General features: G+C 50.9%; 2 protein-coding genes across 11 annotated transcripts in view, besides 2 other annotated features; one reads left to right on the top strand and one right to left on the bottom strand.

The window, feature by feature from the left end:
- PARP12 (poly(ADP-ribose) polymerase family member 12) overlaps positions 1 to 1,344 on the top strand; it is a 39,203-nt gene extending 37,859 nt beyond the window's left edge. For all 3 annotated transcript variants that reach the window (NR_130117.2, NM_022750.4, XM_047420739.1), the window contains one exon: positions 208 to 1,344. Coding sequence is in view for 2 of the 3 variants with exons in the window: in NM_022750.4 (NP_073587.1) it covers positions 208 to 533 (326 nt within the window). In the remaining variant the exon portion in view is untranslated. The remainder of the gene's footprint in view (positions 1 to 207) is intronic.
- Positions 4,800 to 23,852, bottom strand: part of TBXAS1 (thromboxane A synthase 1) — a 242,052-nt gene continuing 222,999 nt past the window's right edge. For 6 of the 8 annotated variants that reach the window (NM_001130966.5, NM_001166254.4, NM_001314028.4 and 3 more), the window contains 4 exons: positions 17,911 to 18,002; positions 9,233 to 9,370; positions 7,260 to 7,422; positions 4,800 to 5,068 (listed from right to left, as the gene is read on the bottom strand). In NM_001130966.5, the coding sequence (NP_001124438.2) occupies positions 4,994 to 5,068; positions 7,260 to 7,422; positions 9,233 to 9,370; positions 17,911 to 18,002 (468 nt within the window). In that variant the 3' untranslated portion in view covers positions 4,800 to 4,993. Of the gene's footprint in view, positions 5,069 to 7,259; positions 8,702 to 9,232; positions 9,371 to 17,910; positions 18,003 to 23,852 lie in introns of those variants that run through there. The other 2 variants (NM_030984.6, XM_011516544.4) reach the window with 2 other exon arrangements.
- Positions 7,855 to 8,355: an enhancer, noted in NCBI's record as "H3K4me1 hESC enhancer chr7:139716538-139717038 (GRCh37/hg19 assembly coordinates)". NCBI's record gives its function as "activates a minimal SCP1, AML or CMV promoter by ChIP-STARR-seq in naive H9 embryonic stem cells {active_cell/tissue: H9 hESC(naive)}" and the evidence as "EXISTENCE:reporter gene assay evidence [ECO:0000049][PMID:30033119]".
- Positions 22,411 to 22,470: an enhancer, noted in NCBI's record as "active region_26772". NCBI's record gives its function as "activates an Ori minimal core promoter by ATAC-STARR-seq in GM12878 lymphoblastoid cells {active_cell/tissue: GM12878}" and the evidence as "EXISTENCE:reporter gene assay evidence [ECO:0000049][PMID:35858748]".

The raw sequence follows: 23,852 nt of genomic DNA, 5'->3' as shown, positions 1-23,852 counted from the left end.
ATGCTGCCACTCAGAAGGGTGTTGGTATCACTGATGCATGTGACTTCATGAGGGAGAGTGGAGACATGGCACAGAGGGAGGGAGGGAGATGCGGGGTGGAAGAGTAGAGGCCCTGGCGTTGCACATCACCAGGACGCTATTCGCAGTGTGCTGACCCTTCCTGGCTGCAGGCCCCTCCACCAGCTGAGCCCTCGTGTGTCATTTCAGGGAGCTACTTTGCCCGAGATGCTGCATATTCCCACCACTACAGCAAATCCGACACGCAGACCCACACGATGTTCCTGGCCCGGGTGCTGGTGGGCGAGTTCGTCAGGGGCAATGCCTCCTTTGTCCGTCCGCCGGCCAAGGAGGGCTGGAGCAACGCCTTCTATGATAGCTGCGTGAACAGTGTGTCCGACCCCTCCATCTTTGTGATCTTTGAGAAACACCAGGTCTACCCAGAGTATGTCATCCAGTACACCACCTCCTCCAAGCCCTCGGTCACACCCTCCATCCTGCTGGCCTTGGGCTCCCTGTTCAGCAGCCGACAGTGAGCGCACAGGAGTGTTCCAGGCCTTTCACCTGCTCTGCCTTGAAATGGCTATTTGGGCCTTTCCTTTTCTTTTTAAACAGAAACTTTTAATGAACTGTTCTCTTAACATTGACCTCTCAATGAAGTTATGTTCTTAATCTCTTGCTAATAATGATTTTTACTTTTAAGTCACTTTTGGGTTCACTAGTGGATTAACCAGAAGTGATTGTAGTTGAGTCCAGTTTTGCTTTTTAATAATGTGTTGAAGTTTTAGTTTTTACTCTTTGTTGACTTTGCTGCTTATTGGCACCAGGGACAGAGTTTCTAGATACAATTTTATGGATTGGTTTTAATTTTTATGAGTTTGTCTCTGCAGTGATTCGGTTTCTCAGAGTCTCATGGCATCATAGTTTTTCCAGAATGACACAGTAGCCACCGGTGGATGACAGCCCACGGGCGGCACAGTCACTTCTGCCTGTTGCTCTGACACCAACCCAGGCAGCTCTGCTGTGGCTTCTCCTGGGCTCTGGCATTAGTTGGTCTGTGTCACATTGTCAGAACAGGTGGCTGCTGTGTGGTGCCATCGAGTCCCTGCTGGTTCCCCTTGTCCTGGGAGGGTCACCCATTGCCCAAGGAAGTGCATCCACCTGGCAGGTGACCTGGAGGAGTAGCTTCCCCGAGGACCCCCAGGCTTGGCCTGTGATTGCGCAAACCCACATTTCCTAAGCACACTGGACACCCTTCGAGTGTGGGTTTTAACATCCCTGTGAGATTGAATACTTGTGCCACACATGTCACAAAAGAGTATGGAAATAAAAGAAAATTTATCCGAAGTGGATGAAGACTGAAGCTCATTTTTCTGCGTCTATTGATTGAGCACCTACTGAGTGCCAGGCGTTTTTCTGAGAGTCAGGGATTGCCTTTGTTCATTTGGACTTCTGTAACAAAACACCATTGACTGGACGGCTCATCAACAGCAGACGTTTATTTACCGGGTTTGGAGTCTATAAAGTGCAACCTCCTGCTTCCTCATAGATTCAGTCTTCTCACTGTAACCCTACGCGGTGGAAGGGCCTCTTTTATAAAGGCACTGAATCTCATTCATGAGGGCTCCGCCCTGGTGGTCTAATCACCTCTACTTTAAATACTATCACCTCAGGGGTGAGGATTTCAACATTGGAATTTTGGGGGTCGTAACATTCAGACCGTTATCAGGGCTGTGACAGAGCTGATGACACGGCTTGGTGAGCTACGTATGGATTTATTAAGAAGACAGTGAAGCTGAAGGTTCAGGGCCCCTCACTTGCTGGAGCCCCTCCCCAGGCCCTAGGAGGGACCCTAGCAATATGGTCACATGGTCATAGGTTTTGATAAAATTTGCAAATGTTACACTTTTTTTTTCTCTTTCCTCCAATTCGTAGATAAGTTTCAGGCCCCGTAAGACCCAGGTTCACCACTGAGCAATGTGCTGTGCATGTGGAGAGAGTGTTGTGTGTGTCCCTCACACGTGGCAGTTTACAGGAGCCTCCCTTCTGGGCTTTGGCTGGTTCTGGCCCTGTTGGCAGAGGGGCTGGCGGGGCCACTGGTGTCACCAGGCTGTCAGCCCTCCCTACTCGGTCCTCACTACATGCTTTTTGCCCAGCCTCCACCTTCCTGAGGACGTGTGTCTGCTGGCGACTTGCTGCTTGGGCTTCAGTTGGCTTGCCTGTATTTCTCAGGTCCAAGGTGAATATGAACCCATTTTTCCATCTTTGGAGTGATCTGAAACCTTAACACAGGCAAGTGCAGTCAAGCTGGAGGAGAGCCAAGGTAAATGACCAGAGGAACAGCAAGAACAACACAGCTTCACCCAGCAGCTGGGTCAGCCACATGGTTGCCCATGGTATGATTTTCAGAACCCCCTCCAAATTTCCTCACAGCCTGACTGATCCTGCCATTTCACTCATTGCTTTTTCATTAAGTCATTGGTCCTGCTATGGTGTAGTTGGGCAGGGGCAAAGAGGTGTCAGAGAAAACCATTAAATCAGATGCATGTCTGTTGCTAAGGTCTTGCATGTAAGTGAACTGATTCTATGCTTCTGAATCATCTGGGAGCTGGGGAGATTTGGGGAGCAGAACTGGTTCACTGGGGGTGTAGATGGGGAGGGCGGCCAGAGGGATCCGGTGGGAGATGCTCAGTTGCTCCGGAAAAGTCCACTGAGCTGTGAAGACTCTGGCAGCCATGGCTGGGTGACCTGGAAGAAAGCAGGTTAGGAAGAGCAACTCCTTGGACCAGCAATGCTAGGGAGGGTGGGAGCCACATGGCCAGATTGCTTGATGACGGGGAGGGAGCCGTTCCTGCCGGTGCAGAAAGGGTGGGCATTGTGATGGGAAGGGGTGGAAATGACTGTGACTCTCAAGATGTTTGGTGCCAAGAGGTGGTAGGGTCTGGGACATGGGTGTATGTGTGTGGGATTGGCCAGAATCTTTGTGAGGACTCAGTTGGGAATCTAGCAAGAGGGTTTTTTGGAGGACCAGGCGGTGCGGTTCCCTGCCCTGTGATACCTGGTGTTGGATGTGAACAGTGGGATTTAAGCAGAGGTGGGGTTGGTGGCCTCACACAGTAGAAGGACTGGAGTCCAGTGACCCCAGCACATGAGGAAGCCTCTACCACTGTGTCTGAAGGTGGTGACCAACTGAGCTGGGAAGGCGAGGGAAGCTGGATGGAGCTGACAGGCCGGGGGGCGGGGCCGGAGGTCCCAAGGGAGGACTCAGGTTGTGGGGCTGTGCTCCAAGCAGGGAGCTGAGTGCGCCATTGGGCCTGTCTGCAGGCTGAGGTTCTATGGTGGCGGCAGCCGTGGGGAGGTCAGGGATTGTGGGACAGGCAGGGAGGCCGACAGGTTCCCAGGGGTGGATGGTTTTCTCCAGTGAGTCTGAGTCCCAGGCTGGGCATTGCAGAGGGGCCAGGTGATGGAGAAGGGCAGGTGGTGGCAACAAGGGTGTGGGGAGGGCCACAGGACAGCCCTACACCTTGAGGCAGCAGTCACTCACAGGCCTGGCCCAGTGCTGGGCAGCTGGGGTGTCCTCTTCCTGCCTGGAGGGCCAGAGAATAAGAGAAGGGGCCCCCCAAGGGGGATTTTGAGGGATACAGTGGGTGCTCCTGGCTGAAGGGGATGGGGGACCACCAAACAGTGGAAGCAGCAGTCCCAGCAGTGAATATGTGGAAACTCATTCTGCCAACTCTCCCAAAATGGCCTGAAGTTTCTAAAGGTGGGTCGTCAGCATCTGGGTGTCACATAAGGGGCTTACAGATTTCTACAAGATCGTTCTCTATACAACATTCAACCTCTTAAAGCTGCTCAGGTGTCAACTAGAGGACAAGTGGTCTTTTGATCGAGGCCAGCCTCCTTATTTTACAGAAGAGGTCTCTGAGGCACAGGGAGGTGATACGGCTCTTCACCAGCAGCCATGAATGCGCAGCTGCTGGTGGCTGATCGTGAGACTGACCTTGCAAGTGCTTGGTTGAATGTGAACTGCTTAGCAACACAATACTTATTTTTACAAAAAAAATCACCTCTATATTTTGATTCTTTGATCAAAATTAATATACAGTGTTTTTTGTTTTGTTTTTGTTTTTTTTGAGATGGAGTCTCACTCTGTCACCCAGGCTGGCGTGCAGTGGCGCGATCTTGGCTCACTGCAACCTCCACCTCGCTGGTTCAAGCAATTCCCCTGCCTCAGCCTCCCAAGTACCTGGGATTGCAGGTGCCCGCCACCACAGCCTGGCTAATTTTTTTGTATTTTTAATAGATATGGGGTTTCACCATGTTGGCCAGACTGGTCTTGAACTCCTGACCTCAGGCAATCCACCTGCCTCAGCCTCCCAAAGTGCTGGGATTACAGGTGTGAGCCACCGTGCCCGGCCGATACAGTGTTCTTTAAAAGAAAAAGTATATCATTTTTCAGACTCTCATTTTTCTGTCGATTGAAACTTGACTGTAAAGTTGGTACTACCCTACCTAGGAAAATCAAAGCATAATAAAGCTTTGGAACCACTGCTGAGGTTGAACTTTCGATAAATGTCATTCTCTACAACTCCACAATGCACGAGAAGCTGAAAGAGCCACGAGCTAGTGCCATCAGGACAGGCTTACCTGGGGGTCCTCATGTGCCCTGCACCATGGATTCCTTTCAGCACAAGCCTGGGACTTCCTTTAAAACCCCACATTCTCAGTTGTTTTGTCAAAACTACATTTTCACTTATTTATCAGCAATTCTTCATTTAGAGAGAGCACTGGTTCAAACCCCATTGGCAATGTCAAAACCAAGTGCAACAAACGTTTATTAAGCATTTAGGAAATGTTATGTAAAGAACCTCTTATCCTTGCATGCCAGGCACTCTTTCAATCACTTCAGTGACATTTTTCCAAAATTCTGAACATCCACACTTAGGGTTTTCTTTGAATTTGGGGGTGCCCTCCCCCCACCCGGCAGCCTTCTGTGTCAGCGGGATACGATCTTGATATAGACACCATTTTTTGGACCTAGGGCAGATTTGGATTCTAGCTGCAGCGGTACCTAAAATAGAGAAAATTAAAATATTTGTCAAAGAGATAGTAGCATCTCACTGTACAAATGAAGACTTGGAGGTTCAAGAAGGCCAAGTCCGTTGTCCAAGGTCACACAAGAAGAAAGCAGAGAGCAAAGCCCCAAACCTATCTTTCAGTGACTCCAGCCGTCCCTGCTGATCCTCCCCATCTCACTCTCCAGTTCTGGCCAGTAACTGAGCAATGCCCTCTGGCCCAGGGGCTCTGGGGAAAGCAGCTTCATGCTGTTCCTGCTCATGTGTGCTGTGGTCTGGCCTCACTGACATCCAGAAAGCTTTCCTATGTCCAGCTTAAAAGGCAGAGCCAGTGGTGGACTGGGGACTTTGAAGAAAAACCAAAGAATTACTCGAGGAGTTGGGTTTCCTCTGGAGCTGAGTAAAATGATGAGCCAGTGGCTAATGTGACAGCAAAGAGTCACCAGGGTCTTAGTGCTTGGGGCTGTACGTGTCTCCTGTGGGAGCCATAGCCCTCAAAGGCATCTGAAAAAGCTGCAGGCCCCAGCACTTGTCTGAGCAGACAAGGAAGAACGGGGAGCCCTTGACTCCTGGCTGGTTCTTAAGCCGGGGAGTGCCAGGCATAAGCAGCGTTTTGGGAGACTGGTCTGGCTGCTGCACTGTATGTTGAGATCGTGGGGAAGTGAGACAAGCCCCGCACACGTGGAAGCCCCGATGCAGTGGGGCTGCTCCTCCGTCTGCCCCTTGACCTCACTTGGTTTGGCTCTGCTCTGCCGATCTGCCCCTCCCTGTCTCCAGCCCAGAGTATGTGGATGCGTTCACTTTCAGTATCTCAGACTCTATGTCCCCCATCCAAGCTCATTATTCCTCCAGGACCAGCAGCTGGTCCCAGGTTCTCTGTCAGAGGCACTGCCTGTCTCAATCTAGAATTGTTGCTATCTGTCAACTGTGTCCTTATGCCTTCCTATGCCTGCCTGTCCAGGTCTGCAGCTGAACAGTGGGTTCCGGGTGGCAGGACAAGCATGAGGATAGGTGCAGGGGACAGCAGTGGTCAGGATAGGCAGGGAATAGCTAACGCTGTGCAGAGACGTAGCCAGATGTCAGGAAGGAGGGAGAGCTTGGGAGTGGGCAGGATCTGGGTGAGGACCCCCGTTTCTCTCATCTCTGGCTGCTTATCCATTTGCTCATTAATGTTTGTTGAATGAATGAGTGAGCACCTGTCATGCGCCTGGCATTAAGCTAGATGCTGGAAAGTCCAACAATGAATATGACAGACTGGGTCCCTGCCATCACGAAGCCTGCAGTCCTGCTGTGTGGCCTTAGGCAAGTTATTTAACCTCTCTGAGCTTTGATTCCTCATCTAAAGAATGGGAATAGTCACTCCTACTCTGCAGGGTTGCTGTGAGTGTGAAAGCAGGGGATATAAGCTCCCTGACCTGTTGAGGAATTGGTCTGCTGGTTCTGGAGTGTGTGATGTGGGGGGGAGATAGGGCTGGAAAAGTGGGTGAGGCCCCATTTCAGGAGAGCTCAGCTCTCTGGGTGAGGACAGGGTCTGTGCACCAGTCTAGGACCTCAGGAATGAAGGCATATGTTGTTGGGAAGAGGCTGTGTCACCACCTGTGAGAGGGACCAGGCTGTGGCCATGGGGACACGTGAGTGTCTGCACAAGGGGGGAAGGCAAAGCTGGGGGTACCGTTCAAGGAGCTGAAACCCTTCAGCTTCCCCTCCAAGCAGACAGCACCTTGCTCTGTCAGGAGGAGCCAGAGGAAGTGTCCCCACCTTCTGTAGGACAAGCCATGCACCCCCCACCCCGCAAAGGCAGGCACATGTCACAACTGCAAATGCCATTGTCTGTGTGCCCTTTGTGGAAGTGGGAAGAGCTACAGCAAGGTGAGGTCCAGCCCTGGTGTGCAGAGAACAATACTAATAACAATGGTTAACACGTGCTCGGGTTGGCTTGCCAGGGCTTACCTGAGCGCTGTGTGAACTCACTGGATCCTCACAGGATGTTGAGAGGTAGAGGGTGTTATTATTATCACCCCCACTTTACGAATCAAGAAACTGAGGCCGAGAGAGGTTAAGGAGCTTGCCCAAGCTCACGGAGGCAGAGCCTGATGTTGCCCCCAGGCTGGCCTGCTCTCACGCAGAGAACTGGGGTGGCCCTCCCACCCCTGCCCCTGCCCCTGCCTCTGAGCAGGGGGGCCTCACCTGGGTCTCAGGGCAGGCTTGGAACCGGAACTTGTGCAGCACGTGGAGCAGTGTCAACTTGACCTCAAGCAGCCCTAGACGCACCCCGAGGCAGCTCCGTGGGCCGGCCCCGAAGGGCAGGTACGTGAAGGGCCGGTGCTGCTGCCGGGCCTCAGCCGTGAACCTGCAGGTCCGTGTGGTCAGGGCTGGCCCAGAACACCCGCTCCCTCCCCTCTGCAGCCCTGTGCTCCAGCTGAGCCACCCCTGCATCTGAGACAAGGATGTCTCCAAGGCTCTGGGAGCTGATGGCTGCTCATTCCTGAGCCTCAGTCCCTCTCTGCTCCTGGCCTCCTGTCTTCCTGCACAGCCCCAGAGGCAGAGCTGAATTCGCAGAATCACCTGGAATGTCCACAGCTCCCTCCCTGCCTCTCCTTAGGAATTCAGTGTGTGGCTAATAAGCCCACAGACTCACCGCCACCCACAATCAGAGTCTAAACACGGCATCCCTGAACCCCAGGGTTTGGTGATCACCCTCACCTGGGCCCATGGCGCCACCTCCCCTCCCATAGGATGACCCAGCCGCCACCTGCTTCCTTGGCAGGGTACCGGGCACCTCAGCACCTCCTGGGCCCTCCCTGGGGGGCGTGTCCTGCTGGCTTGCCCTGCAGGTCTCTTGGGCCACACTGGCAGCCCCTCTCCTGCCCGTGTTTGCTTTGCAGGCCCCTGCACTGGACACTTGAACCACTGGAAGCTGCAGTACCTGGAGAGCTGGAGGCCCTTCCTCAGAACTGCTGAATCTCCTACCAAGTAGTGCATTTGCCTGCAGCGTGTGTCCCATGACAGTGAAGCTAGGTGGCACTCACTGTTCTGTAACAGCGAGCTCACTTTTTACTACCCCTGGGCTTTATTGTGAGGCTGTAAGCCCTGTGGCTGCGGCACGTTCAGGAGCTGCTGACTGTGGAATATTGTTGTGTAGATCCCATTGCTCACGTTTTCCCAGTGACTGGGTCGTAGGCTTGGGCTGAACTCAGTTGGAGCCATGAAAGGTGAAAACACAACTGGTGCCGGGCCAGCCCTTCCCTTGCCAGATCACACACACAGGATATTGACTGGTTCTGATGAGGACCAGAGTGTGGGCCGCCTGCTCAGATGTTTCCAATCACAGAGCCCAGAAATGAAAGGAGACAATGAACCAAAGCCAGGTGGTGGAAGGCGGGGACCCAGGTCAACCAGTGGATCACGTGAATTTAGATTCATGGAGACATCAGCTGAAGCTGTTGTTTTGGCATAGATGCCCGTTTTTTAAAAAGGAAATGATGTTCCGTTACTTTCCAGTGCAGACCTGAAATACAATCCTGTATCCCATGTCCTGGCTTGAATGAATGGAAGACAATCATTTGAAATTGCCTTGTTCCTTGCATGCAGGGCTGCTGAAATGCTAAATCTCTGGATTCAGTTTGGACCTTGAAAAAATGGTATAATTATTTATTTATTTATTTATTTTTATTTAATTTATTTATTTTTTTTTAGACAGAGTCTTGCTCTGTCACCCAGGCTGGAGTGTAGTGGCACCATCTCGGCTCACTGCAAGCTCCGCCTCCTGGGTTCACGCCATTCTCCTGCCTCAGCCTCCCAAGTAGCTGGGACTACAGGCGCCCGCCACCACGCCCAGCTAAGTTTTTGTATTTTTAGTAGAGATGGGGTTTCACCGTGTTAGCCAGGATGGTCTCGATCTCCTGACCTCGTGATCTGCCCACCTTGGCCTCCCAAAGTGCTGGGATTACAGGCATGAGCCACCACGCGTGGCTAAAAAATGGTATAATTATTTCCTTTGGAAATTATGTCTTGCAAACATCTATCTGAATTGCCATAACTTTTGACTATTTGGGGACAATTTTGCTAAGTCTGTGCCTCCCGGCTGCTGCCTCCACTGGTAAATTTCTATCCCACACACTCACATCCCTTCAGAGCTTTTTAAAAGGGGCAGTACTCACCTTTCAGGGTTGAAGGTCTCCGGGCTTGGCCAGTGCTCAGGGTCATGGTGCAGGGCACCCACGGCCATCTCTAGCACAGCGCCTGCGGGGATGCGCTGCCCCAGCACCTCGCAGTCCTGAGCTGCCTCCCGTGTGAATCTGAGGGAAACACCAGGTCGGGGGTGGATACAGAGAAGAGATGAGGAGCAGAGCTTGGGGCGTGCTGGGCAGGCAGAGTCTGAGTGTGAAGGGGATCAGGGGCAGGCAGCATGGTGTGTGGAATGAGGCTGGGGACAGAGGACCCCCTGCTCAGCCCCCTTCCCAGGGTGACCAAGCCCCTACCCCATTACCACTCACTGCCCAGGAGCCTGCAGCCCCGAGGCTAGGCTCACTTGGTCCTTGATGAAAATGTACTCATCCATCCCTTCATGCATCCATTTGTCAAGCACAAAGGGCCCCTCTTGTGCCCCATGTCGGGGTGCAAACTGCTTTGGAAGGATTGCTTTCATAGTGGGGGCCTGGAGGGTCATTCCTGGGCCACAGCCTATCCTATCTTCCCATTCACAGCCAAGCCTCTTAAAATTGCCCTTGCTCACCCTCTCGCTCCCTCTCCTCCCATTTCACTGACTAGCCCTGCTGCCTGGCATCTGTCCCCTCCCTCCTGTGGATGGTCCCCATGCCAAGATCCCCAAAGAATATTTATGGGTACATCTGATGAATACTCCTCAGTCTTCATCTGACTTGGTCTGTCTATGTCATTGATTGTCTTCCTCTTGCACATTTCTTTGGTTTGTTTGTTTTTCTGTTTTAATTTTCATTAGGAAATAATTCTGAACTTACAGAAAAGTTGAAGAATAGTACATTAGATACCCATGTATCGTTTACCCAGATTCACCTGCTGTTTTTTGCTGCATCCTCCTCCTCCTCTTCTTCTTCTCCTCCTCCTCCTTCTTTCTTCTTCTTCTTTTTTTTTGAGACAGGGTCTTGCTCTGTCACCCAGGCTGGAGTGGCACAATCTCTGCTCACTGCAACCTCTGCCTTCCAGGTTCAAGCAATTCTCCTGCCTCAGCCTCCCGAGTAGCTCAGACTACAGGTGTGTGTCAACAGGCCTGGCTAATTTTTGTGTTTTTAGTAGAGACGGGGGGTGGTTTCACCATGTTGGTCAGGCTGGTCTCGAACTCCTGACCTCAAGTGATCCCCTGCCTCGGCCTCCCAAAGTGCTGGGATTACAGGCATGAGCCACTGCACCTGGCCTGTGTCCATCATCTTTACCATTCTCTGTGTGTGTGTCTGTCTCTCTCTCTCAGACACACACACACATGCACACACACATTTCTTTCCTTGATTTCTCCCTCATTGGCAGGCTCTTCTGCATCCACCAGCCTCTTAAATCCTGGCACTTCCCAGGGATTTCGTCTGCCCTCCCAGATTCAACTTCCATTATCTCCTAAGCCTCCTACCTCAGCCCCAGCCTGAACCCCAGGTTCCAATTTCTACCCACAGACCCGGCCTCTTCCCTGGGCGGTCCACAGAATCCTCGAAGTCGGCCTGAGCAGCAGCAGGTCATCAGAATCTTCTCCTCCTTCTGTTTCCCACACAGGCTTGAGAAAGCCGGAAACCAGAAGCCATCCTGTACTCGTCTCTCCCCGTCTGCAGATTCATCACTGGTCTTTCGTATGGTGCCATCTCTCCAGTTTTACTGCCATCTCCTTAGTTTAGATTCTCGTCTCTCATTGACCTCTTTGCAATCCAGTCTTCTCATGACAACCAGAGCCATGTCTCTGACATGCAGTTTTGTCTGCTTCTTCCCAAGGATGGGCTGCCTAGAACAGGGAGCTGGAGCTGGAGCAAGACCCAGGTGCTTGAGGCTGTATGGCCCCAGAGCTGAGGCTAGAGTCGCAGTTAGCTGGTGAAACCTGTAGCTCAAAGTCAAGGGCAATCAGTGGGTGAAGTGAGGCCATGAATCGGGGACGGCAGCAGATCAGAAGCCAGGAAGATGGGCAGTGACTTGCGATGCACAGTGAGAGGTAGTTTAGGACCTGGGTTTGGGATTAAGGCCATGAGCAGGTCAGGTGTGTTGGAGGCTGCTGGTGTTGATGCAGTCTCCAGGTTTGCCTGGTCAAGCTGCCTTCAGGGCTGAGCCTCAGGCTGGTGTTCAGGGCTCCTGGTGCTGTGAGATCACACCCCAATCTGACTGCTGGAGCCACTGCAGCTTGTGAACAATCTGAACCACCTTCCAGTCCCCCAGCTTGGGTCTCCTCCGTGAGGCCTGCCAGTGAGAGCCGTTCCTGGTTCCTGGGAGAGTTCTAGCTTCCTTACCCCACCAGTTTCTTACAACCAACACCCGTGACTCAAGAAAGCACCATTGAATCTCTCTTCCTTGCAACTTGAAATCCCGGCATGGCTCTCTTAAGCTTGTACCTTGTTGATTATGGCCCAGCAGGTGACCCTGGGAAATGAGTCTACCTGGAGCCACACAACTCAACTCTTGGAGTGAGCATCGAGACCACCTGTGTCAGTGACTTCCTCTCTGCTCCAGAAAATTCTTGCCGAGGAAGATAAACCTCTGAACCAAGAAACAGCTTCACTGTTGGCTTCAGGAAATTAATGCAAACTAATTTGTCTGAGCAAACCACTTTCCTATCAGGACAATGGTTTGCTTGCGTGAGCAAACAGTTCACTTGCCAGACAACAGTCTTACCTGTCAGAACTCCCTTCAACTCACCTACCTGTATTCACTCATTCCTAAATTGTTATGTCATACATCTTGCCCCAATTTCTTTTTTTTTTTTTTTTTGAGATGGAGTCTCGCTCTGTTGCCCAGGCTGGAGTGCAGTGGCGCGATCTCAGCTCACTCATCTTGCCCAATTTCAAATATTCCTTGCCACAAAAGACCTACCTTAAACCTCTGTAACCCAAACTCCAAACCTTATAAGTGTCCTTTCCTGATCTGCTGGCTTTGAGTTCCTGTTAAACAAACGTGCTGTCACTCTTCAGACCTACATGCAACATTCTAGAAACAAAATTCGAGGTGGAGAGGTGAAGAACCGCTCTCTTCCTGAACTTGGGTAGACTTTTGGACTTCGAGTGTTGAGCACACGCTCTCAAGAGTTCTGGTCATGGCCGGGTGTGTGGTGGCTCATGCCTGTAATCCCAGCACTTTGGGAGGCAGAGGTGTGTGGATCACCTGAGGTCAGGAGCTGGAGACCAGCCTGGCCAACATGGTGAAACCCCGTCTCTACTAAAAATACCCAAATTAGCCAAGCATGGTGTCGTGCGCCTGTAGTCCCTGCTACTCAGGAGGCTGAGGCACGAGAATCGCTTGAACCCGGGAAGAGGAGGTTGCAGTGAGCTGAGATCGCACCACTGTACACCTGAGCGACAGAGCGAGACTCCGTCTCAAAAAAAAAAAAAAAAAAGTTCTGGTTACAGGTGATTTGGGATTTTAAAGGATGAGATAGAGCCTTTTAGGACGAGGGCAGAATTACAGCCCCAGCTTCTCTTTATCACCTCCCTGCACCTCTCAGCCCACCCCCTTCCCAACTACTTTTGTGACTATAGGGTTCGATTGAGAAGTCTCTCTCTGACTTCAGCATTATCCCACTCCAACAGATCTGGCTCACAGCAAGAAAACCAAGCCCCACTTCCTGCCTCCTACCTTCCAGACTTCAGGCCATTTCCTATCCCAGGTAACACGGGGGTTGGGAGGAGACGCTGGTCACACCCTCTGTCAAGGCTTGTCCTCGAGATACCCTCCCAACGTAGCAAAGTTCTGTTTCCCTAATGAATCCCGTACACGGGCTCCCACTCCTGCTCCTGTCTGTACCACTCCCACGTGCCTGGAATCCATGAAAAATCTTCTGAGTCTTAAGTCCTTAACACAGGACATGAGAACATCTAATGAGGACAGGCTCAAACCGTCCATCAAATGCCATGATAATTCTGGAATATTGGAACATCAGAATTGGTCCTGGTGAGGCTGGGTTTATTTAGTTATTTATCTGCTCACCTGTTTATTATTTCATTGTGGATATATATATATATAGAACATAAAATGGACCATTTGAACCATTTTTCAGTGTGCAGTTCTGTGGTTTTAGTACATTCATTGTGCAACCAGCACTGCCATCCATCTCCAGAACTTTTTCCTCTTCCCCCACTGAAATTCTGGATCCCTTAAACACTAACTCCCTCCCCTCCCCTCTCCCTGGTCCCTGGCAGACAGCCTTCTACTTTCTTTGTTAATTTGGCTCCTCTGAGTGAGTCCTGGTGAGGGAAGGAAATTTGGGTTTGAAAATCTGTTCCCTGTTGTCTATGTCTCTACCGATAGCTTCTTCTCCCAGAGAGGAAAATATTTGATCAGATTGTTCATTTTACCCAAGGGCAATGGCACAATCTCATTTATGCTTTACTTTTAAAGGGTAGACTATATATGCTTGTATATGAACATAACATTTCTAGAAGAATACTTAAATTTCTATCTTTCTCTTCTCTAGGGGATGGGATTGGGATGGAGAATGGCAGGGGGCCTTTTTTTTCTTTTTTTTTTATTCTTCATTGTTTAGGGGACTGTTTTTTTTGTTTGTTTGTTTGTTTGTTTTTTTTGAGACAGAGTCTCGCTCTGCCGCCCAGGGTGGAGTGCAGTGGCACTATCTTGGCTCACTGCAACCTCCGCCTCCCAGATTCAAGCAATTCTCCTGCCTTAGCCTCCCTTGTAGCTGGGATTACAGGTTTCTGCCACCATGCCCGGCTAATTTTTGTATTTTTAGTAGAGTCAGAGTTTCATCATGTTGGTCAGGCTGGTCTTGAACTCCTGAACTCAAGTGATCTTCCCTCCTTGCCTCCCAAAGTGCTGGAATTACAGGTGTGAACCACTACACCCGGCCGGGACTGTTTTTTTTTTTTTGGTTTTGTTTTGTTTGTATAAGCATGCTATTTTGGCAATATAAATAATTAAAAATTCAAAATAATTCTATGCTGGATTTTACTTCAAGCTGTAGGATTGGACTTCCCTAAATATCCTAAAGGAAATGCAATGATTACAGTAATTACTGTTATGCCCTGTTCCTGCCCGTAAGAGATTAAAAGCAGCCTGTGGCTTCTTGCTGCTCCCTCTCTGTTATGAGCCTTTCATGTAACAGACAGGAACAGAAAAAGGCCAGGGCGTGGAGAACCCATTGAGATGCTAAGCTGCTAATGCAATTATATGTGCTTGGAGCTGATAGCAAACACCAGCACTGAAACCAGGGCAGGCAGCTGGGGTTTGTGATGTCTGTACCCGCAGTTCCAAAGGGGTCAGATGAAGCTGTTCCCTGGCACCCTGCTTGTTCTTCTTTTCTGGAAACAGCCTGGACCTGGAGGCAGACCCCCTGGAAGCTGGAAAATAGGGCCTTCCCTTCCCCGTAAACTGAACCTCATAAGAGATCAACAGAAGCTTCAGAACTGCACCGCACAGCATCCGGGAGTCACCTCAGTGGCGCTCAGACAGGGCTGCTGTGTTTCCCACAAGGGCGATTCTGATTTTCTTTTATGAGTAAGTCCAAGTTGTGTCAGCACTTGGGAAAAGTCAACACGCTTTTTGAGATGAAATAAAATAATAAAATAAAAATGCTCACTCTCCCTACATTCACCCCCAAATCCTTTGAGCAGAAGCAGATTGTCCTCTGGTCTGGGTGAGAATTGTGACACCTTGTCTCTCTCATATCTGGTGATCAATAAGAAAAGCCAGCAGAGCTGATAGGGTGAAAAATGCCCATGGAGCAGGTGTGGAGCAGCTGTGAGGCAGGTGTGGGGTGGGTGTGGTGTGGGTGTGGAGCAGGTGTGGGGCGGGTGTGGTGTGGGTGTGGAGGTGTGGGGCGGGTGTGGAGCGGGTGTGAAGCGGGTGTGGAGCGGGTGTGGGGCAGGTGTGGGGCAGGTGCGGGGCAGGTGTGGGGCAGGTGCGGGGCAGGTGTGGGGCAGGTGTGGGGCAGGTGTGAAGGTGTGGGGCAGGTGTGGGGCGGGCATGGAGGTGTGGAGCAGGTGTGGGGCGGCTGTGGGGCGGGCATGGGACAGGTGTGGAGCAGGTATGGGGCCAGCATGGAGGTGTGGGGCAGGTGTGGAGCGGGTGTGGGGCAGGTGTGGGGCAGGTATGGAGGTGTGGAGCAGGTGTGGGGTGGGAGTGGGGCAGGTGTGGAGCGGGTGTGGGGCAGGTGTGGGGTGGGTGTGGGGCAGGTGTGGAGCGGGTGTGGGGCAGGTGTGGGGTGGGTGTGGGGCAGGTGTGGGGCGGGTGTGGGGCAGGTGTGGGGTGGGTGTGGGGAAGGTGTGGGGCGGGTGTGGGGCATGTGTGGGGAAGGGGCGGCTCAGGAGAGCGAGGCTGGATGGAAGCTGTCCATTCCACTGTCCGACCAGTGCCGGCGCTCCTCCCTGCACACATCATGCTGCAGGCAGCTGAGCGGGCACTACAGTTCCACCTGTGCCACCCACTGCCTCTTGCCTGCTTCTGCAGGGCCAGCCAAGCAGGTGTGTGTCCCCATTTAACCCGTAGGAAGGAGAGGCACGGAGCAGCATGAGGCTCACGATCACGCAGTATGCCAAGGCCAGGGCCAAGATGGTCTTCTGACGTGCCCTCTAGACCTGTTAGATGAATTCTAACTACTTCACCCAGGTTCTCTAGTTTCTGTCTGGTCCTCAGGTGAGATCACCAGCTTCCTGGTCCACCTGCACCAACTTCCTTTTCTGCTCTGCTGTTTATAACGGGTCAGTGGAGAATCGGCCACCGCATTTTCATGTTGAAGAGCCTAACCCCTTTGTTATTCAACATGACAGCTAATAAGGTCTTGTCTGATGGATTCGTGGCTGAGTTTAGGTCCAGGAAGTACTGTGTCCATTGATCAGTTTCTGTGCTGTCCTCTTGCTGGAGAACACACCTGTTTGGCTTGGCTGCTCTCCCTCTTGGCCAGGAGCCCTGGTCACCAAGCCACAGCTGGACCCCAGCTACCAGCCAGCTCTGGGGCCCTGTAAGGCCTTCTTTCCTTTAAATGGCCTTTGTTCTATTTGATCCCTGAATGCTTTATCTTGAACTTCATTTTAACATGTACACCAGCTTCCCACAATCCCCTTGGAAGAAAGCTGGATATCAATTATGAAAAAAATAAGGCTGGGATTGGTGGCTCACGCCTGTAATCCCAGCACTTTGGGAGGCCAAGGCAGGCAGATCACCTGAGGTCAGGAGTTTGAGACCAGCCTGGCCAACGTGGTGAAACCCCGTCTCTACTAAAAATACAAAAAATTAGCCGGGCATAGTGGCGGGCACCTGTAATCCCAGTTACTTGGGAGGCTGAGACAGGAGGATCTCTTGAACCCAAGAGGCAGAAGTTTCAGTGAGCCAAGATCACACCATTGCCCTCCAGCCTGGGCAACAGAGCAAGACTCCATCTCAAAAAAAAAAAAAAAAAAGAATAAAAGAAAGAATTGGATGACAGTTTGCAAGAGGCTCCAAAGGAGATCAGGGAAGGGCTGCACATCAGGTCTTAATGCTGGCATGGGGAGAGGGGGCACAGAGCCCCTGAGTGACTGGCCTGCTTCCACACTGAGACCCAAAACCTTGTGTGCTTGAGGACAATGCAGTTCGAATCACGCCACCGGAATTTTCTGTATTTGCTTCTGGACTTGAACATTTGGACAATGTCTACAATTGCATTCTTTGTAATGCTTTTGTGTTGAAATATCGTTTTGAGATACCCTCAAATCATCCACATATTGTCTTTAAAAATGGTGAAAGGTATTTCCATATGGTTTATGTGATCTGTTAATTCATAAAAGTGTTGAGTGGAATTTATCACATACGGTTAATGCTTTGTGCTGCTTCTGTTTCTAGAGCCTGAAATCTGGCTGTTACTTCACTCTCTGTAGGGGTCTGGGGACATGAATTAAGATGCCCTTCTCTATGGAGTGCCTTGTTTGGGAGAGTTTGAACGAAGCACAATAGTTGGTTTTGCTCTCAAGATACCCACAGGTTGGTGTGACCGGCTGGTTGGTGTGTACATTAGTGAAATGTCATGGAGTGGCAGATATGTGTCCAAGAATATAACATGAAGTGTATAGTTACAGCTCAAAGTGCTGAGGAGGAAGGGCAGGGAGGACCAGGTGAGGCAAGCCCAACACAGACGTCTTGAGGGGCAGTGAGACGTTTTGGAGGGTGAGTCGTGTTGGAGCTCCAGGATGGGACAGCTGGGGGTGTTGGATGGCAGGAAGGAGCTCCCAGGACTCAGACAGTCCCCTACTGTCTGAATGCCAGCTCCAAGATCAGTCAGGGACTTTTATCTGTTTTATATACAGCTGATTTCCCAATGCTTGGCACAGAGTAGATGCTCAATAAACAATTGCTGAATGAATGAATGAACGAATGAATGAATGAATGAACGAACAGGCAGGGGAAATGGCAAAAGCCAGCAAAGGCTAGGAGACCAAAGGGCCAGCTTGGGCTGGGGAGGAAGGCGGTGTTAAGAAAATGCCTGTGAAGCTTTGAGAAGGTTGTTAACCTGTAGGAAAGCGGGCCAGATATCTGAGGTGCCATGGGGATACAAAGGAACCCAGGACTCAGGCGTTGCCCTCCAGAAACACAAGTGGTAACTGATGGAGGAGGGCCCTGACCTGCAGGCTGGGGCAGGGGGTAGGGGTAGGAGGTGGGGACTCGGGCAGGGGAGGGGGCTACCACACACCTGAAAGCTGGCGGGTACATCCTCAGCGTCTCTGCAATCACCATGTCCAGATAGGGCAGGCCTTCCTCGAGGCTGCAGAACTCAGGGGCCATCTGATGGAGGGGTCGTGACAAAGGGAGAAGTTCGTGTTAGCCCAAATCTCACAGCATTTTGTCTTTTCCTTAAATTTCAATCTCGTTTCCAACTTTGGCAAACATTTAAACAGAAACCCCACAAAATGGAAAGTCGGTATGACCCAAATTGCATCTGATTGGCGCTCAGTGGTTCTATTGTGCTTATATTTCACGGTGCTAGCCTGGGGCTCAGGGGTCTTCGTAATACAGAGAAGTTTGGTTATAAAACTGCAGCGGCAACCACAGCCGCCAGCATTTATTGGGAGCTGACGATGTGGCCGACCAAGTGCAGCATAGACGTTACCGCATTTGATGCTCCACTAAGCCAGTGTGGTGACTGTTTCCCCATCTCTTAGATGAGAAAACTGAGGCTCAAAGAGCCTGTCACATGGGTAGTCATGGCACATTATGAAGTCAAAAGGCAAATAGTGAAATAGCAAATAAAAAAGTTTGCCACATCTATAAAGGACTAACAGTAACAAAAACCAAAGAGCTACTATCAGTCAGTAGGAAAAGACAACTAGCTAGAAAAATGGTCAAAGGCTATGAACAGGCGAAACACAGAGGCCATATGAGTTACTATAATGAAAAATGCAAGTTCCAATGAGATTCCATTTGCACAGGTCAGATTAGGAACAGCTGGAAAATGCTGATTAGATTTCAGGGGGTGCAAATGTGGGGATCCTAACACCCCCGGGTGACTCTCCTGGAGTGACAGTCTGTCACTCCCTGGCTCCCCATCTTTGGCCTGAAGATGAACACGTGCCCATGAGCTCTTGAGCAGGGTGTGGGCGCACTGGGATTAAGGAAGCTTATTTGCTGCTCTGCCAGTTTGCCCACAGAGGTGGAATGAGTTATCTGGTTGGTAGGTGATGGTCTCACTTTCTTCACCTAGATAATGCTAATCCAGGAGGAGTCCCCAAGGTGGCGGATTGCTTTCTTCTGTTCCCTCTTTTTCCCAGAGCAGCAGGAGGCCGGCCTTCAGGGCAAGTCCATTCTCAAGCCGCCAACGTTCCAGTTACAGGCGCTGGGAGGCCTAGTTCCTCCGTCTGCAGGGGGAGCCCTTCACAGCCCTGGAGCAGCCACTGGCCACCCTGCCTGGGATCTCAGCCAGCTCTCAAAGTGAGCTCCGGGATGGGCAAGGGTCAGCAGCAGCAGCATCACCCGGGAACCTGTTAGAACTGCATCTCGGGTCAGAGGGGTGGAAGGGCAGGGGCCAGGACACATGGAGTCTTGAAGTCCATAGCCAGTATCGTAGCTAATCTATGATGACATAGCCATTCAACATATTGCAGCTGTTTAATGATGCCTATAAGCCACGTTGCAGAAATTATATGTAGTTTAATCCCATGTCTGTGACTGTTTATGAATTTAGAGGGCCAGGGTGGCATTCCTACTTTGTCATAAAAAATAACAAGGTTTGGATGGTTTTCCCAAAGCTCTCCCGTCTGCATTTCTGGGAACGGTTCTAACTTTAGAAGGTTATCACCCAACCCCACACTTCCCACTCCCATCACAGGCCACTGGGGCAGCTGGCTGAGCAAGTGACCAATGAAAAGGGCTCTGTGCGGGGGTTAATCCTCTGTGGCGCTGTCTTGAGAGTCTTCATAACTTTATCTTTTATTTATTTATTTTTTTTTTGAGACAGAGTCTTTTTCTGTCGCCCAAGCTGGAGTGCAGTGGTGTGATCTCGGCTCACTGCATCCTCCACCTCCCGGGTTCAAGTGATTCTCCTGCTTCAGCCTCTCAAATAGCTGGGATTACAGGCATCTGCCACCATGCCTGGCTAACTTTTGTATTTTTAGTAGAGATGGGGTTTCACCATGTTGGCCAGGTTGGTCTCCAACTTCTGACCTCAAGTGATCCGCCTGCCTCGGCCTTCCAAAGTGCTGGAGTTACAGGCGTGAGCCACTGCACCCGGACGTAACTTTATCTTTGAATCTGTGCTTTGGAAGCCTGGCTTATGCATGGCTCCACCTGTGGCTGCCTCCCACGACCAGCTCTCAGCTGCCTGTGCTCTCCACCTGGCTTCCCCCTTTCTGCCCTGACCTATGGCCACTGTTGCTGTCCACACTTCACAGGGTCCTGGGTACAGGCACAGAGAGGGCCAGGATAGGGTGCATGCACCCTGCAGCATCTCGGGTTGGCATGGTGGTGGCCGTCCCTGCCCTAGGCTGGCAGCACACAGTGTATGTGGCGGGGCCGGCCGGAGGCTGTTTCTCGATGGGGGCAAACCTCTGCCCACCCCTAGCCCAGGTACTGAGGGTGTCATAGCACAGAGGTTTAGAGATCCTTGGAGGTTAGTCTGCTGTGGCTGGCTGGGGAAGGCTGTGGAAAGGGGAGACAGCTGGACCAATTTCCCTAGATCCTGCCTCCCTGGCTGGGTCTCAGTGCATGTGTCTGGTGGCTGACAGGGCCCTTGGATGCCTGGAAGGGTCTGGACTCCCCCCGCTCATCCAGTATGTCCAGGCCTGAAAGAACATCCCCGTTGGGCAAACCTGGAGGCAACTTGTCTTCCTGCTTCCAATCTTTATGAGTTTGGTTTGTGTTTGTCTCTTCTGGCCAACAAGTCACAAACACCAATTGTGTAATTTCAGTGGTTCTGCATATAAGTTAAACGCTCTGAAATTTACATTTAAAACTGGCATTGTTTGATATAAAGATGAATGGTAAAATGCTTGCTAATAATTTAACATTGAGTTTTCTTTACTTAGAACAACAGTAAATGGAAAATAAAAAGCACCATGACAAGTCGAAAAAGAGACTGCAGAAGAAACAAAGAAGCTCGCTGAGTACCACGATGGACACGTCCCCCTGCTTTGGGAATAAAGGCTACCACGCTTTTATTTCTCACTGGGCCTCACAGATCCTGTAGCCAGCCCTGCAGGCCAAGATTGACTGGCCCAAAGGGGCCAGTCTGGAAATTTCGATCTGGGACAAAGAAAAAAGTTTTTCTCCAGCAGGTGGCGATTGAACACAGGGAAGTGGAGACCCATTGTTGGCCACATTCGGCCTTGTGGATTAATGAGCAGAAAACAGCAGTTGGCCTCAAGAAAGAAGAAATGAATCAGATGTATACAACAAAGCAGAAGCAAAGGACAGAGAGACCATTTCTCGGTGCCCCATGGAGTTCCAGTTCCTGTTGCCATCTGCTCCTGGCAGGTAACCCTGTGGGTGGCATCTTGGTCCCTTCCAACAAGTTCTCACTTGCAGCTGAAGTTAGCAACATTCTGAATTCCATTGTCTGCAACCAAACGAATCTTAACAAATGCAGGAATATGCATGTATCAAACAAGAAACAGAGGTGCGGTACACAAAAATAGGGAACTATATCTCAAAAAGAAAAACTGGATCTGGAAGCAGCATCCCTAATGGGTAAATGGTGTTGGTTCCCCGAAGAAAACTGTATGGCTTGTAAGTTGTCACGGTTTGTCAAAGAAAGAAAATTTTTAAAGATAGGCTAAGCGAATTTTGTATTAGAAAATCAAAGTCTTTACTCTTTCCCTAGATAGGCTTTTCTCTTTTTAACTGTGCTTCTAGGCTTTTAGATCAAGATGCACATGTAGGCCAGGTGCGGTGGCTCACGCCTGTAATCCCAGCACTTTGGGAGGCCGAGGTGGGTGGATCACCTGAGGTGAGGAGTTCAAGACCAGCCTGGCCAACATGATGAAACCCTGTCTCTACTAAAAGTACAAAAAATTAGCTGGGCATGGTGGTGGGTGCCTGTAACCCCAGCCACCCTGGAGGCTGAGGCAGGAGAATCGCTTGAACCGGGAGGTGGAGGTTGCAGTGAGCTGAGATCACAGCCTAGGCATCAAGAGCAAAACTCCATCTCAAACAAACAGACAAACAAACAAAAAGATACGTATGTAAAGACCATCTTGGTTCAGCAGTTCTCCATGTGGCTGCATGTTAGAAACAGCCAGCTTTTTTTTTTTTTTTTTTGAGACGGAGTTTCGCTCTTGTTGCCCAGGCTGGAGTACAATGGCCCGGTCTCGGCTCACTGCAACCTCTGCCTCCTGGGTTCAAGCAATTCTTCTGCCTCAGCCTCCCGAGTAGCTGGGATTACAGGCACCCACCACCACGCCCGGCTAATTTTTGTATTTTCAGTAGAGATGAGGTTTCACCGTGTTGGTCAGGCTGGTCTCGAACTCCTGACCTCAGGCAATCCGCCTGCCTCGGCCTCCCAAAGTGCTGGGATTACAGGTGTGAGCCACCGCGCCCAGCCAGAAACAGCCAGATTTTTATATGTTTTAGTATAGATGGATGCTTGGGCCCTACTCCCCAGTGTTGGTCTGAGGTGGGGCCTGGGCACCAGCTCTCCCTTTTTAGCCCCCTGGCTGTCCTAATGTGCACTCAGGGGCATAGGTCTTTCCGACTGTCTGTCTGAGACCTACCCTAGCGCTTCTCCACACCTGAGGAATGAACGGATGAGGCAGAAGGACGCACACACCTCCATGTCTTAGTCGAACCAGCGAGACAACAAAACTCAAGTCCCTATCCCACTCACTGGCTGGTCCACCCAGCAGTTGCTGGCTTTGTCTGCAGCTTTCAGGAATAGCAGGGACAGAACGGTCCTGAGCAAATTCTGCCAGCAGAGGGCAACAAGCGCATGCTAAATGAGGACTCCCCGTCCCGGGAAAGGACCTTGGAAATCCTCCCAGCCATCCTTCCTTGACAGAGAGGAGAAAAATGAGGCCCAGAGAGGAAGGCCTGTGAACCCAAAGTCTCAACATAGAATTTATTATAAGTCCTCTTTCATTCAGCAGTTCCTCAGCGGGCACCTTGGATGGGTCAGGTGCGGGACCAGGTGCTGGGGGTCCAAGGAGGCTCTGTCCATTGAGGAAACCGATTCCTAAACAAATCATGACATGGATGTGTAAAGTGTTATCGAATGTGCTTACGAGGAATGCAAAACCAGTTCTGTTTAGGAGATCCTTCATTTACATATTCAAGGAATACATATGGAATTGGCGAGCATGATTCACCAGGCACTGTGCTAGGCCCGGGAGACGTAACTTTAAAATGCACGGACATGTCCTAGCCTCTCGGAGCTTCCAGTCTATCAGGATGCAAACAAGTGGATAAGGGTGAGATGGGAGAACAGATGAGAGACACACATCTCCCACATTTGGGATCAGGGACTCTGTGAGGAGGAAGCGACAATGTCCAGGCTGAGATTTTTAGGATGAGTGAGAATAAGCCAGTGAAAAGTGGATGGCCTTGTTCAGAGGCTGCTGCAACCAACCTAAAACAAATATGAATCAATCAGGGAACTGTGAATCCAACAGGATATTTGATGCTCTCAAGGAATGAACATTCATTTTGGTTTTAGTTGATAATGGTATTGTGGTCATGTTTAGAAAAGAATTCTTATCGGCCAGTCACGGTGGCTCACGCCCATAATCTCAGCACTTTGGGAGGCCAAGGCAGGGGGTGTCACTTGAGGCCAGGAGTTCGAGACCAACCTGGGCAACATGGTGAAATCCCATCTCTACTCAAAATAGAAAAATAGCCAGGTATGGTGGTGGGCGCCTGTAATCCCAGCTACTTGGGAGGCTGAGGCAGGAAAATTGCTCGAGCCTGGGAGGTAGAGGTTGCGGTGAGCCGAGATAGTGCCACTGCACTACAGCCTGGGTGACAGGCCCTTGGCACACCTGGTCCTCTGTCAGTACATCCAGGCACCAACGTTACCAACAGCTAGTGAGGGTGCTGTGGGTCTGCTGGGCCTGGAGTGTCTCAAAAATGTGGGGGACTGAGCAGAATATTCTCTTATTTCAAGCCAGGAAGCACCTGAAGCTTCTATGTTTCCAAAAGATAACATGAAAA

The sequence above is a fragment of the Homo sapiens genome, chromosome 7 (genome assembly GCF_000001405.40).
Source record: "Homo sapiens chromosome 7, GRCh38.p14 Primary Assembly".
Classification (NCBI taxonomy): domain Eukaryota; kingdom Metazoa; phylum Chordata; class Mammalia; order Primates; family Hominidae; genus Homo; species Homo sapiens.
This window is presented reverse-complemented; position numbering and strand designations above follow the sequence as displayed.